Source organism: Homo sapiens, chromosome 2 (genome assembly GCF_000001405.40).
Source record: "Homo sapiens chromosome 2, GRCh38.p14 Primary Assembly".
NCBI lineage: Eukaryota > Metazoa > Chordata > Mammalia > Primates > Hominidae > Homo > Homo sapiens.
In genome coordinates, this window is record NC_000002.12 from 61934651 (window position 1) to 61952814 (window position 18164).

General features: G+C 41.3%; 1 protein-coding gene and 1 long non-coding RNA gene across 8 annotated transcripts in view; one reads left to right on the top strand and one right to left on the bottom strand.

The window, feature by feature from the left end:
* The window catches only part of COMMD1 (copper metabolism domain containing 1), a 247668-nt gene that overhangs the window by 46260 nt on the left and 183244 nt on the right, over nucleotides 1-18164 (top strand). Inside the window, exon 1 of one of the 7 annotated variants that reach the window (XM_011532559.3) lies at nucleotides 10445-10469. The exons of the other annotated variants lie outside the window; for them this stretch is intronic. Coding sequence (XP_011530861.1) covers nucleotides 10467-10469 — 3 coding nt within the window. The 5' untranslated portion in view covers nucleotides 10445-10466. Of the gene's footprint in view, nucleotides 1-10444; nucleotides 10470-18164 lie in introns of those variants that run through there. 7 annotated transcript variants of the gene reach the window in all.
* On the bottom strand, nucleotides 227-15143 carry LOC124906012 (uncharacterized). The gene is made up of 3 exons (XR_007086335.1): nucleotides 14849-15143; nucleotides 8361-8448; nucleotides 227-297 (listed from the first exon to the last, which is right to left on the bottom strand). It is a non-coding gene; the product is annotated as an uncharacterized LOC124906012 (long non-coding RNA).

Here is an 18164-nt window from a genome sequence, read left to right on the forward strand (position 1 = left end):
CAGATTTCAATTAAGAAAGGGATGTGAAATTGAGAGGCAAACAAAAAGGAAAAGGGGCTAGTTAGTACAGCAGTCACTGATTTGTCTGTATAGAGAGGGAAAACTGTTTTTCTCTCAACCCTCATTGGTTCTTTTCTTTTTTATTTAAATTGAGACAGGGTCTTGCTATGTTGTCCAGGCTGGTCTCATACCCCTAGGCTCAAGCAGTCCTCCTGCCTTGGCTTCCCAAATTGCTGAGATTACAGGCATGAGCTGCTGTGCCTGGCCGCCTCATAAATTCTTAATTGGAATAGATTCCTGTAACAAAAGACAGATTGACAAGAGAAGAACAAGGTTATTTCCTGGAGCAGAGCATGGAAGATGTGGGTGTTCAGTGAACTTCCCGAGTGGCCATAATGGTTGTATTAATAAGTTATTTTAGTTTATATCAAGTCATCCAGCTTCAGCTTGTAGGGCTTTGGGACAGGAGAAGCTAGAGTCTCAATAAAGATCCAGGCAGTCAGATTTTAGTTCCTAGTGACTTCAAGTCAGGAGGATGGGAGAAAAATTGGAAACATTAATTACCGACAAGATATGCAAGACAGCAGGATCCAATTTACAGAGTAGTGAAAAATAACTCAGAGACAAATAACAGAACTACAGTCTGATAACCCAGGAAGGGTAGGTTGTAGTTTTCTATTGAAACGTAAAATTTCTGGCTGGACGTGGTGGCTAACGCCTGTAATCCCAGCACTTTGGGAGGCTGAGGCGGGTGGATCACTTGAGGTTAGGAGTTCAAGACCAGCCTGGCCAACATGGTGAAACCCCATCTCTACAAAAATACAAAAATTAGCTGGGCATGATGGCAGGTGCCTGTAATCCTAGCTACTTGGGAGGCTGAGGCAAGAGAATTGCTTGAACCTGGGAGGTGGATGTTGCAGTGAGCCGACCGAGATCACACTGCTACACTTCAGCCTGGGCGACAGAGCAAGACTCTGTTTCAAAAAAAAAAAGGTAAAATTTCTCTGTACAGTCATCCTCTGTTTTCACTTAGTGCCGTGGTTCCAGTTTGATCAAAGATAAAATGAAGACCACTCTTGTTTCCAAATCTAATCTTATTAAATTTGGTCTAATCATTTATATAAGTGCAGCAAGAATGATAATTGGACATATGCTTGATCTTAGGTTATCGATTTTTTTTTTTTGAGACAGAGTCTCACTCTGTTGCCAAGGCTGGAGTGCAGTGGAGCTATCTCAGCTCACTGCAACTTCCTCCTCCAGGGTTCAAGCGATTCTCCTGCCTCAGCCTCCTAAGTAGCTGGGATTACAGGTGCATGCCACCATACCTGGCTAATTTTTTGTATTTTAGTAGAGATAGGGTTTCACCATGTTGCCCAGGCTGGTCTCAAACTCCTGAGCTTAGGGGGATTCGCCGGCCTTGGCCTCCCAAAGTGCTGAGACACCATGCCCGGCCCAGCCCAGTTTTTTTTGTTTTTTAAATTTTAATTTTCATTCCTATTTTACAGATGAGGGTTATCAGTTTTGATGCACCTATTAGCGTCTCTGGTAGGGTTCTGGAAATTCCTACCCAGTCCAGTGGTATGATTTCAAAGTTATGTAAGCAATGTCATGAGAAATCTATACCCCAGAGTACCTTTATAATTCTTTCTATGGGTCTCTGAGGCAGTCACTTATGTTGAATATGAAGCATTCCAGCTTGTAGCTGATTGTGAGCCTTCAGGGAAGCATTCGAATATAAGAGTAATTATATGTGAATGACAAAAGACCTAAAATGGCCATGGTTAAAGATTTTATTAGAGTTCATTATCAAAATAATGGAGTTGACAAGGAAATTTGGTCATTTCTGTGCCAAACAACATTTTAAGATAATAACTGGAATTATGATTGATAACATTATATCAGAATATATTATGGACAGTGAGTGCATTGACAAATTTCTAGAAACTTCATATAGTTCTTTTAAAAAGGAGACAGGGTCTTGCCTTATTGCCCAGGATGGTCTTGAACTCCTGGGCTCAAGCGATCCTCCTGCCTTGGCTGCTGAAGTGCTGGGGTTATAGACATGAGCCACCACACCTGGCCTTCCATACAGTTTTTGGAGTATTTATATTAATAACATTTTCTCATACAGATATGAACCCAAAATATGAGACTGGGTCTAAGTCAATTTGGAAAGTTTATTTTGCCAAGGTTAAGGACCTGCCCATGACATAATCTCAGGAGGTCCTGATGACATGTGCCCAGGGTAGTCTGGGTGTAGCTTGCTTTTATACAATTTAGGGAGACCTAATATATCAGTCAATACGTGTGAGATTTACATTGGTTTGATATGGAAGGGTGGGACAACTCGAAGTGGGGGCTTCCAGGTCATACGTAGATTTAAAAATATTCAGATTGGTAATTGGTTGAAAGATTTATTGTTAAAGAAAGGAATGTCTGGGTTAAGATAAGGGGTTGTAGACAGCAAGGTTTTATCCTGCAGATAAAGCCTCCAGGTAGCAGACTTTATAGAAAATAGATTATAAATGTTTCTTATCAGACTTACAGTCTGCATTAATATTAGGGCTGGAGGGGTATGATGATTACCCCCACTTCACTTTCATGGCCTGAACCAGTCTTTCTGGTTAAATTTTAGAGTGCCCCGGCCAATGAGGAAGTGCATTCAAATGGTTGTGAGAGCCTTCGAATTTTCCCCCTTTTGTCCAAGATTTGCCAGAGGCAACATCAGTGGCCACCAGATTTTAATTTTGTCCCATAGTATTGTTGGGATGGCATGGCTGGCCTGCCCCTGGTCCATCCTGTCCTTCAGTGGGACTCCGTATGGCCAAGGGACTTAGAGTAAACAAGACTTATAGCCAATTAATTATCCTAAGCCAGATAGGAATAGACATGGACAGGCATTCATTACCCCTTATAATTATTATTTATTTTGTTTTTTAAGTAGAAGATGAACAAACAAAAAGCCAAAGGTGAGGTTACAAAACTGACTTATTTTTAACTTCTATGCTACGCATTGAGCCATAGCTCAATCTTGTTTTTAGTTTTAGTATGTAATCTTGGTTTTGGTTACAGACTTATGGCAATTAGCTATACAAAACATACCCGTTCTGAAAAAATTTAAAATATGTATCTGTACAACTCATAACTGGGAGTATTATACCCAGGAGGCTTTGTCACAAGGTATCATTATTCCTGTCAGTAATTATTTTCTTCTTTTACCAGTTGTTCAGGCATCTTTGTACCCATCCTTGATTTGGAGGGTCTGACCTTGACCTAATTATATCCTTCAAAACTCGCCCTTACACTCTCATGCGACAGTCCCTGGGCTTAGAGGGAGGATGCCTGTATAGTCTTAGTAGCAAGGCATTTGCAGTGAAAAACAGATTGGGCCCAGTGGGATTGTTACAGGTAATTAGGCATGAGCTGGGCAGGAGAGAGGGCTCTCCTCTACCAACTAGAATGTCGGGTGATGGTTCAGCAATTATTGCATTGCCTGTCTAAAAATGATAATTTGGCAGCACCAGGGAGAGGCCATTTCCTGATGGTCCACACCTGTTAACATCATCAAACTGTTAATTGACTGCAGGCCCCACGGAGGAGCAGCTTCCTGGGCATGCGTATTAAGAGACCAAAAAAAAAAAAAAATGGTGAGGTATGATCTTCTGGGGGCACGCTCCACTGGAAAAGGGAAGGAAGCCTCAGATGGGCATGTTTATAACTCCCTAAATACATTGCGTGTGTTCAGTTCCAAAGGATAAGGAAAGCCCTGGGCGTGTGGAAAGTCTGCCCTAAAGGAAGAAACATGGGAAAGAGGCGAGCTTATAAAATTCCTAGGATCACGGTTAAACAAGGCACTTGACCTTTTCCCTTTAACCTTCACGTGCCCACTTGGGTCTCTTCCAAGCACACGTTCCTTGCTTTCATGTTCTAAGGCCTTTTCAGATAAACTTCTATTCCTGCTCTGGAACTTGCCTTGGTCTCTTTTTCTGCTTTATGCCCCTCAGTCAGATTCTTTCTTGTGGAGAGGCAAGGACTGAAGTTGCTGTGGACTCCTACGGATTTGCTGCCAGTAACTTGGATCTCTTCCACTGGTTAACAGGATGCCAAATGAGAGAGGTTGGCATCTCTGGTTTTAAGAATACCATAATTTTGGTTTCCTTGTAAGTAATGAGAAATAAATAACATTAATATTTTGACAATCAAAAGAGTATTTGTATGTCAGAACAGAAAAAGGAACCTCTTCCATTAGGGCACCAACTAAAGATATGAAGAAAAATTATAATCTGGTACTCTCTAGAGGATTATTGTAGCCAAGAAATAATTCATAATTCAATCTATACTCAAAAAAACAAAAGTTAGTGTCAAGTGTTACACTTTTCCTTTGAAACAATTTCTCTCTCTAGACTTCCTTTTCTATTAAAGAGAAATTATAGTAAGATCAATTTGTATGCAAATTAAGTTTTAGGCTTATTATACTTTGCCTGATTATTCACATAAAGTGCAGCAAGAATTGATTGGCTTGGCCGGGCGCGGTGGCTCACACCTGTAATCCCAGCGCTTTGGGAGGCTGAGGCGGGTGGGTCACAAGGTCAGGAGATCAAGACCACCCTGGCTAACACGGTGAAACCCAGTCTCTACTAAAAATACAAAAAAAAAAAAAAAAAAATTAGCTGGGCATGGTGGCAGGTGCCTGTGGTCCCAGCTACTCGGGAGGCTGAGGCAAGAGAATGGTGTGAACCCAGGAGGTGGAGCTTGCAGTGAGCCGAGATTGCGCCACTGCACTCCAGCCTGGGCGACAGAGCAAGACTCCGTCTCAGAAAAAAAAGAAAAAAAAAAAAGAATTGATTGGCTATGTAGGCTCCTTTCAAGTTGGCTTTGCTGGAACTTTACCTAAAAATATGCTATTTTAGTCAAAGTCTTGGTAAAATAACCAGTGTCTCCAGTTGTTTTGTTCTAAAAGACTCTTACTGAACTTATGCAAATAACTATATTGTCATAAAATCACAATTTGAATTTTGGACAACTCAGAAAGGTAAATTTGCTTACAAAAACATAGTTCACCCAAATGCTCTAAACTATAAATAACTATAAAAAAAATTTTTTGGACCGTTCTTTAACCAGAGCAGCAGCCTTCCAAACAAGGTGTTTGTTCACCTCAGAACTGCCATTCACAAGCCAAACAGGTCATGAGAGCTATCAGGCACTGTAGAATCTAGCAGCTCCTCAGATAACTAGAATCAGTCCTAGGGACAAAAAGAGGGTCCTTGCTTATGAGTATTTCCTTCTTGTATTCCCAGGTAGCAAGAGCCTGTGTAAACCATTTTAATTTTATCATGGAACTCTTTTGAACACCTTTATTTCCATTAGCATAGGGGTAGCTCAAGCCAATATTCCATAACAAGGCAGTAAATGTCCCTCAAGTAGAAATTCTCTAGTCCAGCAGTTGTTATTGGGAAGTGCTCACAGTTTTTTGTCATAAGTCCCAATACTCCACAAAAGGCTACAAAGTGGAGGATTTGTCCCATCTAGTACTCCAGCTTCTCCCCTATATTTTGTGGGCTAAGGCAATCTTTCTAGTTCCCATTTAGTAAGTTCAGTTAATATTTGTCAAAGGGCAGATTTACCTGCCTTCAGTTTTATAGTACTAGATAGGGAAAACATCCCCCAGTCACATACAGTACCCATTTTCATAAGACATTTAGGTAAAAGGAGTCACAACTACCTTACATAAAGTCTGTGTAAACATCTCAGATTTCATAATTCTGTTAAACTGTATGGTTTTATGTTCTGGTCCCAGGAACTTTTCTACCCCCAGACCATTCTACCTTTTCTGGTAAAAAAGGGTTTGGGTTCCCAGCAGGGAGTTGAGCCAAGGGACTCAGGCCTTTTCGTCAAATTTATATCTTAATTTGCCTCAGCATTGCCCCAGAAAATGTCAGCTTTCTCATGATAACCTTTGCTGCCTTAAAAAACATTTTCCAGTCTAGGGCAAATAGTGAATAACCATCCAAAAATTTCTATCACTCTTCTGGGATGAATTCTTTTTTTTTTTTTTGAGGCAGAGTCTCTGTCACCCAGGCTGGAGTGCAGTGGCGCGAACTCCTCGGCTCACTGCAAGCTCCGCCTCCTGGGTTCAGGCCATTCTCCTGCCTCAGCCTCCCGAGTAGCTAGGACTACAGGCGCCTGCCACCATGCCCGGGTAATTTTTTTTTATATATTAGTAGAGATGGGGTTTCACCGTGTTAGCCAGGATGGTCTCGATCTCCTGACCTCGTGATCCGCCCGCCTCGGCCTCCCAAAGTGCTGAGATTACAGGCGTGAGCCACTGCGCCCGGCTGGGGTGAATTCTTTCGCTCCCTTTTTCCTTTCCCTTTTTTTTGTTAATAACCCCCCCTTTTTTTTTGGGATGGAGTCTCGCCCAGGCTGGAGTGCGGTGGCGCGATCTTGGCTCACTGCAACCTCCGACTCCCGGGTTCAAGCAATTCTCCTGCCTCAGCCTCTCAAGTAGCTGGGATTACAGGCACTTGCCACCATGTCTGGCTAATTTTTGTATTTTCAGTAGAGATGGGGTTTCACCACGTTGGCCAGGCTGGTCTTGAGTTCCTGACCTTAGGTGATCCACCCGCCTCAGCCTCCCAAAGTGCTGGGATTACAGGCATAAGCCACCTTGCCTGGCCTACTCCAGTGTTTTATTAAGCATGTGTAAGACCATGAGGGACAGCAAATTTGATAAGGCTTCTCAGGCAATTATATGATTCTGTGGGAGGGGTACCCATGTAAAAGGGGCCCCTTTAGCCTTCAGATTTACCATGAACTGCGTTATGGACATATTAGGTAGGAGAATATCCTGGTCATTATAAAGCTAGTTCCATATGGCTTGCATATGAAGCATATCAACTGTTTCATCTGCGGTGCTCTACTTGGTATTTTATAGGGAGAGCAGGAAGTCCCGTTCTCAGGGCAAACCTTACAGTGGCATTTATTTGGTCCACTAGGCTGGTTGTTGTCTCAGGAATAACTTTCTGTGCATTTAGATCACATACATTCATCAGTGATTGTTTAATAGTGAGCTTTGGGTCCTGCATTAACCCAAACAAGCTCTTTCATTCTGTAGCATTTAAAATTAAGAATTTTGTCCTTAAAATGGTCATTTTTACAGTCCCTTACTATAAAAGTTTCTCCAGAATCTGATGATACCAATCTATGAAACAGAACAGTTCCTTTACATTATATCCTCTGATTTTAATAGTTACTTGGTTGTGCCCTTCCCCAACATTGACTATCTTCTTGGTAACCACAGGCCTCAGAGGTAACTTTATTTGTCCTGGCTTACTTTTTCTTTTTATCCATTTAGTTTTATTTGTACAGTTTTTCCTTTATTTTAAAGTGATGCTTAAATAGTCTCTTAACTAGGAAAAAAATTTACATTTTCTTCAGCAAAAAACACATCCTCGTGTTTGTTTATTTATTTTTGAGACAGTCTTGCTCTGTCGCCCAGGCTGGAGTGCAGTGGCATGATCTTGGCTCACTGCAACCTCCGCCTCCTAGGTTCAAGCGATTCTCCTGCCTCAGCCTCCCGAGTAGCTGGGATTACAGGCATGCGCCACCACGGCCAGCTAATTTTTGTATTTTTAGTAGAGATGGGGTTGCACCATGTTGTGCAGGCTGGTCTCGAACTCCTGACCTCAGGTGATCCACCCACCTCGGCCTCCCAAAGTGCTGGGATTATAGGCATGAGCCACCACGCCTGGCTGTTTGTTTGTTGGTTTGTTTATTTTTGAGACAGAGTCTTTCTCTGTCACCCAGGCTGGAGTGCAGTGGCACTCATGATCTGCCTGCTTTGGCCTCCCAAAGTGCTGGGATTACAGGGGTGAGCCACTGTGCCTGGCCTTTTTTTTTTTTTTTTTTTTTTGATGTCTCACTCTGTTGCCCAGGCTGAAGGGCAGTGGTGTGATCTTGGCTCATTGCAGCCTCCATCTCCCAGGTTCAAGTGATTCTCATACCTCAGCCTCCCAAGTAGTTGGGATTACAGGCACACATCATCACGCTCAGCTAACTTGTATTTTTAGTAGAGGCGGGGTTTCACCATGTTGGCCAGGCTGGTCTTGAACTTCTGACCTCAAGTGATCTGCCCGCCTCAGCCTCCCAAAGTGCTGGGATTACGGGCAGGAGCCACTGTGTCCGGCTGTTAATTTATGAGTACTCTTTACCTGTAAGTCAATCTGGTACCTTGTGGCCAAAAACACATAACAGAATATGTGTACATATACCTAAACACATATATATATATATACACTCATACAAAGTTCCTGTAGTTTATGCTTCAGAACTCTAGCCATGAGATATTAACAGAGACTTACCAGTTTGCAAACAATAGTAAAAAGAAACGGTTGGATGCAAACAGTGGATTTTATCTCAGTAGAAAAGTAACAGCAGACTTAAAGCAGGCTGAAAAGAAAGCAGAGAGATAGAGAACTTAGGAACTTTATAGTTGCAGATTGACTTTCGAGCTCTGAATTTTTCTTGATGTAATTTGCCCATCAGTTTAAAATGTGCGCAAGAACAGACCTATAATGTGTAACCAGCTGCAGTATTGGAAAACCTGGCATGCCCTTCCATTACACAACCACTTTCAAGTAGAGGGGTCATGAAACCAAACAGGGTGCCTGAGAGGGACCACTCTCCTTGTGTTTTTTCATTCCTAAATTATTTGTTTCCCACATTTTTTCTTAAAAGGAGGAACTGAGCTGTGCCTTAAGGTTTAGTGGAGTGGGTCAAAGTGTGCTGGTTGTGGGTGGGACTCCATAGTGTGTCACCAGTGAGTCATTTCTGCCCTTTTATGTGTCTCAGTTTCTCTTTCTGGAGGTCCAGCACCATGAGGAGGGCTCAAAGTGAGGAATGAGGCTGGGTGCCTTGGGTCACGCCTGTAATCTCAACACTTTGGGAGGCTGAGGCAGGTGGATCACTTGAGGTCAGGAGTTCGAGACCAACCTGGCCAATATGGTGAAAACCCGTCTCTACTAAAAATACAAAAATCAGCCGGGTGTGGTGGCACGCACCTGTAATCCCAGCTACTCGGGAGGCTTGGACAGGAGAATTGCTTGAACTCGGGAGGCAGAGCTTGCAGTGGGCCGAGATCCCGCCATTGCACTCCAGCCTTGGCGTCTCAGTGAGACTCTGTCTCAAAAAAAACAAAACAAAACAAAACAAAAAATGACCAGCTCCTGTATGCATTTCCTGGACAATAATTTTTTAAACTAATTTTCTCGAGAGTTCCCTGTAGGGCTGCTACACGTTGTAGGGGGTCAACCCTGCAGGCACTTCCACTTGGCCCCCAGTCACCCAGGGACGCCTTTTGGTTGGAAAGAGCAAAATGCCCTTTCTTTTTGGAGCTGAGGAAACTCAGCCTGTCATCTATGAAAATGATAGTTCAGTTCCTCACACAAATGTGCACATGAGCCAATCGAGATTAATTGCAGGAGGAAAGGCAATGAGAAGACTCTTTAGAATGCACCTCTGGGCCAGGTGTGGTGGCTTATGCCTATAATCCTAGCACTTTGGGAGGCCAAGGCAGGTGGATCACTTGAGCTCAGGAGTTCAAGACCAGCCTGGCCAACATAGCAAGACCCTGTCTCTACAAAAAGTACAAAAATGAGCTGGGTATGGTGGCACACATCTGTAGTCCCAACTACTCTGGAGGCTGAAGAGGAGGATTTCTGGAGCCTGGGAAGTTGAGACTGCAGTGAGCCATGATGGTGTCAGAGGACTCCAGCCTGGGTAACATAGCAAGACTCTGTCTCAAAAAAAAAGAAAAAAATATAATAATAATAGTAAGAATGCACCTCCGAACTAGAATTAGGATCCTAGACAACAACTTCCTAGGAGCTTAGCTAAACCAGCTAAGACCACTTCCTGTAAACTGTCCTCAGCCACTCTTAACTTTGTAGCTCTCATCTGCCATTACACATGCCAAGGCCAAATCCTCTCATGGTACAAGGTAATTTCTGGCATCTCCAAAAGTCAGAGTCAGGTAGTGCAATACAGGAAAGCAGAACTGTAGACCTAAAAGAATCTGCCCATCACTCGTGAAAACTCCATAAAGAAAACAGGACATCCCAAACAGTGGCAAGTGGTGCCTTTGTTCTGAGTTCTTTAAGGGGTTCGGGTCATTAGAAGGCTTCTCTAGATTTTTTTTTGGCAGCAAAGATGGGGAAGGGGAAGGGGAAGTAGGAGTAAGGTGGAAGAAAAGACAAGGAAGCAAAGACAGAAACCACGTGCATGGTTTTGTTTTGTTTTTCCTTTTTGCTGCTGCAAGGAATTTTAGCCAATTCGGAGGCCTTGTTCCCCATAATTGGAATTCTCATTCAGATTTGGCCAAGTCGGTTAGAGTTGGAGCTCGTCAAACCTGATGGGAGAAAGACCAGAACAACAACAAAAACCCAACAATATGATTACTGAGTGCTCCAATGGTAAGGTGAAATTAAGACCAGCTGATTGTTAATTGTAACTTTAGCCGAATGAAAGCCCAGTTCAGCTACTTACCTAGGAATGGGTCTCAGGTTGAAGACTGCTCTCTACTATGCTACAAGCAGGAAAAAACTCAAACTCCAGAAAGGAGTTAGCTGCCTTCCATCATTATGGAAGCAGGAAAACTTGCCTTCCTTGTTGGAGCAAGTAAAACTTCAGAAAAAGGAGTTGTACAACAAAATAAACTTTAGATCTTGACCAAATTTTGGGAGATCAGGGATTCTCTGGTGTGGGGCCTCCCAGGCCTCAGCCAATTATCCTCTTGGTTTGAGAGTAAAGATAGATCAAGCTGGTACCAAGCACCAGTAGGCGATTTGTCAAAGGTCAGGGGCACTTGCACTCAGAAGACCTTTCAGGTTGCCAAATGTAAACCCAAAATATTTGAGATAGGTTTCAGTGAATTTAGAAAGTTTATTTTGCTGGGGTTAAGGATGCAGCCACGACATAGCCTCAGGACGTCCTGATGACATGTGCCCAGGGTGGTCAGGGTACAGCTTGCTTTTATACAATTTAGGGAGACATAATACATCAATCAATATATGTAAGATTTACATTGGTTTAATGTGGAAGGGTCAGACAACTCGAAGTGGGGGCTTCCAGGTCATAGGCAGATTTAAAGACATTCTCATTGGCAGTTGGTTGAAAGTCACTGTCGGTAGAAAGGAATGTCTGGGTTAAGACAAGGGATTGTGGAGACCAAGGTTTTATGCTGCAGATTAAACTTCCAGGTAGCGGGTTTTAGAGAAAATAGATTGTAAATGTTTCTTATCAGACTTAAAGTCTGCATTAATGTTGATGCTAGAGGGGTGTGATGAGGCATGTCCTACCTCCACTTCCCTTCATGGCCTGAACCAGTCTTCCTGGTTAAATTTTAGAATGCCCTGGCCAAGGAAGGAGTGTATTCAGATGGTTGTGGGAGCCTTTGAATTTTTATTTTTGTTTTACACAGATATAACTTAAGAGAAGGTTAAGCATCACTTCTACAATGTTTCCCATGCAATTTAACATGTCAAATAAACCTAATTAAAAAAAATTAATCAGAGAGAAGTTCAGGAAAACCTAGTTATTTTTAACATCTCTCTTTTTAAAAGTTGAAAAAACAAACCCTTTGAGACTTTCAAGGGGCCCTCTGGAAAAATCTCAGTTTGAGATCAAGATTTTATTTAGGATTTGATTTTGAGAAGGCAAAATGTCAAAAGGTTCGAATGTTTGATTAAATAGGGTCCCAGGTCACTTTTTTAAAAGAAGACTTGGTTCTCTTAAATAAGGATATGATAAAGCACTGGAAATTATTCCAATAAGACACAGAATCTTTGTTTCCTAGGCAGATTACTTAAAAAGTAAAGAAAAATCTTTTACACAGTCTCTCATGAAGAGCAGACTAGTAGTCCAAGAAATTTAGTCCCTTGAGAGAGAAAATTGAACTCTAGTTTTACTACACTATTACTATTTACTACACTATTACTAGTTTTACTACACTATACATCAGTACACTATTGATATTAAAGCTTATTTTAAAACCTCGTAAATAAACCCATTCAGTCTTAGCCAGCTCGACCATATAAAATACTAGTTTTTTTCTCTTGTTTTTTTCTTCCACATTTCCTTTACAACTTCATATATTCCTTCAGGTTTTTGTCCTTTTCTCTTTCTCATTCTGGAACAACCTTTCAACAACCTCTTAAACAACTACAAAAACATATTTTGCATTCCTTGGATACTTTTCATACAGAGTTGTCTCCCTTCATGCTTATTGCTTCTAGTAGTTTTGTTTACGTATATAAATTATTTTTAACAATTAATCTTTATTTTACAGGGAAATCTAGGAAGTAGACAGTCGTGAATTGTCTGTCACATACCAGCATTTTTTTAGCAGATTAGTAAATTTTATGAATATAGCATCTCACATGTTCTAGAAATATAAACTTCTTCATAATAAAACTTCTCAATGTTGTCAAAAGTAGATGTTTACTAAGAGACCCAAATATCTTTAGTTTCTCTATAAAAATAAGTACTAAAAGCATATATAATTTAAACTTATGTTTAGTAACTGTTTCAGTATTTTATTTTACTTAGAACAATCTATATATTTAATGAATACCTGTCACTTAGTATAACTTAAGGTTTCAAATTACCAAACAGATTTTGGAAATGACTTTTTTTTTATTTTTTAAACAGCCTTTGAGCAAATAATTTTTTCTTTTAAAAAAATTTGTACTTTTAGGCCAGGCGCGGTGGCTTATGCCTGTAATCCCAGCACTTTGGGAGGCTGAGGTGGGCGGATCGCCTGATGGTCAGGAGTTTGAGACCAGCCTGGCCAACATGGTGAAACCCTGTCTCTACTAAAAATAAAAAATTAGCCTGGTGTGGTGGCGGGCGCCTGTAATCCCAGCTACTCGGGAGGCTGAGGCAGGAGAATTGCTTAAACCCAAGAGGCAGAGGTTGCAATGAGCCAAGATCGCGCCACTGCACTCCAGCATGGGCGACAGAGCGAGATTTGTCTCAAAAAACAACAAACAAAAAAAATTTTTTTTTGTACTTTTTTTTTTTTTTTTTGGAGAAGTGGGGTACTGTATGTTGCCCAGGCTGTTCTCAAAATTCCACCCTCAGGCAATCCTCCCGCCTCAGCCTCCTGAGGTAGCTGGGCTTATAGGCATGCACCAGGGCCTGTCTTATTTCTACTTTTAAGACTTATGAAACACAATTGTTGAAATAGTTTGTCAGAACAGAGACTCAATTTGATTAAAATCACATCTGTAAATTTATGATCTTAAACATCTAATAAATATATTAGCTTATTTTATCAGTAAGCCCAATAAATAAAATATGTAAATATAAATACAAATAAAATATCAATAAAGTATACATATAAAATAAATGTCTGCATTATACTTAATTTGGAAAACTCTGAAGACATTGAAGACATATCTTTTAATAAATCAACAATATTATTTTTGTTGTGTTTTTGTCACCTAGGCTGGAGTACAGTGGTGCAATCACCGCTTACTGCAGCCTTGACCTCCTGGGCTCAAGCAACCCTCCCACCTTTGCCTCCCAAGTAGCTGGGACTACAAGTGTGCACCATAACCTAGCTAATAAATCAACAATATTAAACTATTTTTTTCTTTTTTCTATGTCCTGCAGGCATTAACTCCAAAAACACATACATTTAAAAAATATTTAAGTTAGTTTTCTATATTTTTGAGAGTTTCGGGACTACTTAATTTATGTAAGTGCTTATTTTCTCTAAGCCCATTATTTAGAATGGAGCTCTTTTATTAATTGGGTAATACCATCTGGAGGTAGGAAAATATCACATGTGCATAATATATATACACATATACAGACAAAAGCAGAGAATATTATGACTTTCACTCTAAAAATTTAGTCTTTAGTCAGGCATAAATACAGTGATACAGAATTCACTAGTTTAAATATAAGAGTCTGTTCTTGTCTTTGCCTCACTTTATTTTTTTATCTGAAATATTTTTCTAGTGGATAGAACAAATTGCTCAATATGAGGGCTAAAACTTTTTACCAATATTTGCAGAGGAGACTTTTAAGACTTTGTTTTGTCTTGTTGTATTTATGGAGGATGTAGACTAAATTCTGTTCCCATTTATCATTTTTAGCCCCAGGTGGTTGCTTTCAAGGTCCCTGAGTCCCCTTCAAGATCTCCCTAGGGAAGGAGCAGAATGCCTAAAATTCCAGTGACTACAGGGACTTGAGGAGGTGGAGTCTGAAGGGATGGGTCTCAGAGGAGCCAGCTTGGGAGATATTTAGGTTTTCTCACAGAAGCCATTGAAGTGCTGGGCACGGTGTCTTTGCACCTATAATTCCAGTTACTCAGGAGGTGGAGGCAGGAGGATCACTTGAGTCCAAACCCAGAAGTTCGAGACCAGCCTGGGCAGCATAGCAAGACCCTGTCTCTTAAAGCAAAAATTTAAAAATGAAGCCATTGAAGTTCTAAATTATGCTTAGTAAAGTTATGCCAATAAGAAAGGAAGGGAAAGAGCTAGTGCTGCCGTGGCAGAGCATATAGTCAGCAGGGTTTTGACAAGGAAGGGTTTCAGTTGACTGAGAAATTCCCATGAGAAGAGCAGGGTGAAGTGTAGAGAACCGAGAAGCCTTGAAACAAAGAGCCAGGGAGAACTTCTAGCCTAAGAGGAGTACAGAGAGGCTCAAAACCAAAACTGGGAAGAAGAGTTCCAGCCCAACGAGTTCCTTCCAAACAAAGAAGCCTTAGATTCTAACCCAGCTTCAGAGAGCACAGTCATTCAAAATGTGACTGAAATAATAAGCCTTTTTATTTATGGCTTACCCATGGATGCAATAGGTGTTCCCAAAAAGTGTGTAGAAGATGGAGCCTCTGTTCCAAAGTCACTCCCAAAGATATCCAAAGAGAGAAGAAATAAAAATCTTTTTTGCTGCAGGCAATGAGAATAGTGTTTGTCAATTCCAGATCAAGGCAGATTCAGTTAAAATAAAAAAAAGAATGATGTTTGTGAAAACTTGTGTCCGTGGCCTCCAACAAAAGTGAGATACTTTTGACACTGGGTAGGTGATGCTGAAATGGGATTCCTCAGTACTAGCAAGGCGGCAAGGAAAGAGATGACGCAGGCCCTTATGGACTGAGATCTTTTATTTAGACAGACTCCCTTGAGAGCTGGCATGGTCCTTAGGAAAGTATCTCAGGCCCCCAGGCCACTGGCTGCCTGCCTGCAGACATAGACCCACTGGCAGGTAGAAAACCAATAACGAGAATGCAGTCACTGGATTCAAGCCAAGGTCTCAGGACACAAAATGAAACAAACAGGACACTATGGCTATCCCTGAGAAGGAAAGGATCTATTATAAGAGTACTTGAACCAAGAGTGACAGTACCCGAAGAACTAGTTCCTAAAGTGTTTCCTCCTATAAATCTAGATTTTGGAAAATCCCTTTTAGAAAAGGAAAGCAGAAGCTCTTAACATGCTTACTCAGCTGGACCCCGAGATTTAGGGTCTGACAGGTAATATGTTTATTTTCACTGGCTGGGTCATAGGTCCTGGGATTTCAGTTGCAGTTTCCAGAACAAGCAGGAAATCCCAGCCATCCCAACCTCACTGACAAATCTGTTGGGAGGAAAACTTTCCCTCCTCCAACCTGGGTTTAGTTGTTGGGGACCTGCACATTATCCGATAATAGGCAGGTTGATAGGAGAAAAGACAGGGTTTATTTATGTGTGTCATGGGAGTGCTCAGTGATGAGTAATTCACTCAATAGTCAGAGATAAAAGGTTTATACAGTAGTTCCCCCTAATCCCCTATGGATTAATATGGGATTCCTCTATGTTCCAAGACCCCAGTGGATGATCAAAACCATTGATAGTACTGAACCCTGGCCAAGGAATGCTAAGGTCACTTTTTCGCTTAAAGGAAGCACTTTATGGCTTCTCTTTGGCATATCCAAGTTGCCAGCATCGCTATTTTTGTGCTTTGGGAACATAACTAAGTAAAACAAAGGTTACTTTAACACAGGCACTGTGACACTGAAATAATTGACCTGATAACTGAGAAGGCTACTAAGTGACCTTGGGCAGCATATACAGCGTGGATACCCAGAACAAAGGAAGGATTCATGTCCAGGTCAGGAAGGAGTGGGAGGGTGCAAGACTTCATCACACTACTCAGATTGGCGCACAAGTTAAAACTTGTGAATTCTTTCTGGAATTCTCCAATTAATATTTTCAGTTCTTCACTGACCATGGGAAACTGAAATCAGGGAAAGCCAAACTGCAGATAAGGAGGAACTATTGTTTACCAACTTAAAATGGAGGAGAGGGGTTTAGGGCTTCAATTGGAAGGTGTAGATGGTTCTGTTGGCCTTTTTGCTGCCAATGGCAATGGGCAGACTCTCTATGGCAGCTGAATTCCAGGAAACTCCCACGGAGAGAGGGTTAATGACAGCTGGGCTTTCCAGAGGGAAGTTGGATAAGGGAAGTTCAGGTAATATGTCTTTCTGCGGCTGGGCACAGTGGCTTATATCTGTAATCCCAGCACTTCGGGAGGTGGAGGCGGGTGGATAGGTTGAGGCCAGGAGTTCAAGACCAGCCTGGCAAATGTGGCGAAACTTTGTCTCTACTAAAAATACAAAAATTAGGCATGGTGGCGCGTGCCTGTAGTCCTAGCTACTTGGGAGGCTGAGGTACGAGAATCACTTGAACCTGGGAGATAGAGATTGCAGTGAGCCGACATCGTGCCACAGCACTCCAGCCTCGGTAACAGAACGAGACTCTGTCTCAAAAAAAAAAAAAAAAATCTTTCTGCATCTTCAGTTCAAATTACTTTTATTTTAAAATAATCTTTATTCCAACTCTGTGGATCTAAGTAGGTGCCCTAATATTGAAATCTTTCTAAAATATATTAAAACTCTTACCTGGGACTTTCATTATTTTAACAGCTTTATTGCTGTATAATGGGGATATAGTAAACTGCACATATTTAAAGCATATAATTTGATAAAGGGACATATGAATGTATCCACGAAACTATCAACATGATATTCAACATGATAGCGAACATATCTATCACTCCCAAAAATTTCTCCAGTGTCCCTTTAAAAATTTCGCCCTTGATTCTCCCCAAACCATCCCTGTCAGGAAACCAGTGATCTTTTTGTCACTGTAGATTTGTTTACATATTCTAGAGTTTTATATAAATGGAATCATACAATACTCTTTTTTTGTCTAGCTACCTTCACTCAGCATAATTATTCTTGAGATTCATTCATGTTTCTTGTATCAATAGTTCATTCCTTTTTATTGCTGAGCATTAGTCCATTGTATGATATAATAAGGCTGGTATGACCATTTGCATATGTTTGTGAAACTGCCATGGCAAAATTGTGACGGTAAAAGAAGTTTGACATGGCTGACTCTGTCTTGGTTCTAACCTCAAAGCTATCTTTGCTCATTCCTGGGTATAGGCCAAGCTCATGATGGGAAGAATTTAGTTTATAGTTTAACCTGAAAGCAAGGATAATATTCCTTTCCTAAAACTTAACCCCTTCCTTGTTCAGGGACCGAAAACCACTTTTGTCAGACTAATGAAAGGCCACAAGATTAGGATTATGTGAGGGGTCTGAATTCTGCTAAAATATAGGCATAGTTTTTATAATCCTTTCCTGCTCAGGAGTCCTGTGGCCAGAGGTGACAGGATTTGTGACTTTCCCAAGTGCTCCTGTAGATGACATCACTAATGTAGAACCTAAGATTGGTCTTTTGAGATTTTTTTCAAACTTTCTGGCAACCGACTGATCCCCACCCAGAACCATGACTCTTGACTCAGCTGGTCCTGTGGCCCCACCCAGAGGCAGACTCAGCCCATAAGGAATGTTTTCCATACATATATGATTTCATCCTTAACCAGTCAGCAGCACTCATTCTCCAGCCCCCTGCCCATCAAATTTTCCAGGAAAACTCTGCCTAGCTTCTGAGTTCTTGGAGAGACTGATTTAAGTGATAACTCCAGTTTCCCTGTGTTGCTGGCCATGTATTAATTAAATTCTTTCTTTACTGGACTGCTGCAATCTCAGTGAATTGATTTTGTCTGTGCAGTGGGCAGGAAGGACCCACTGGGCGATTATGTTTCTATGGA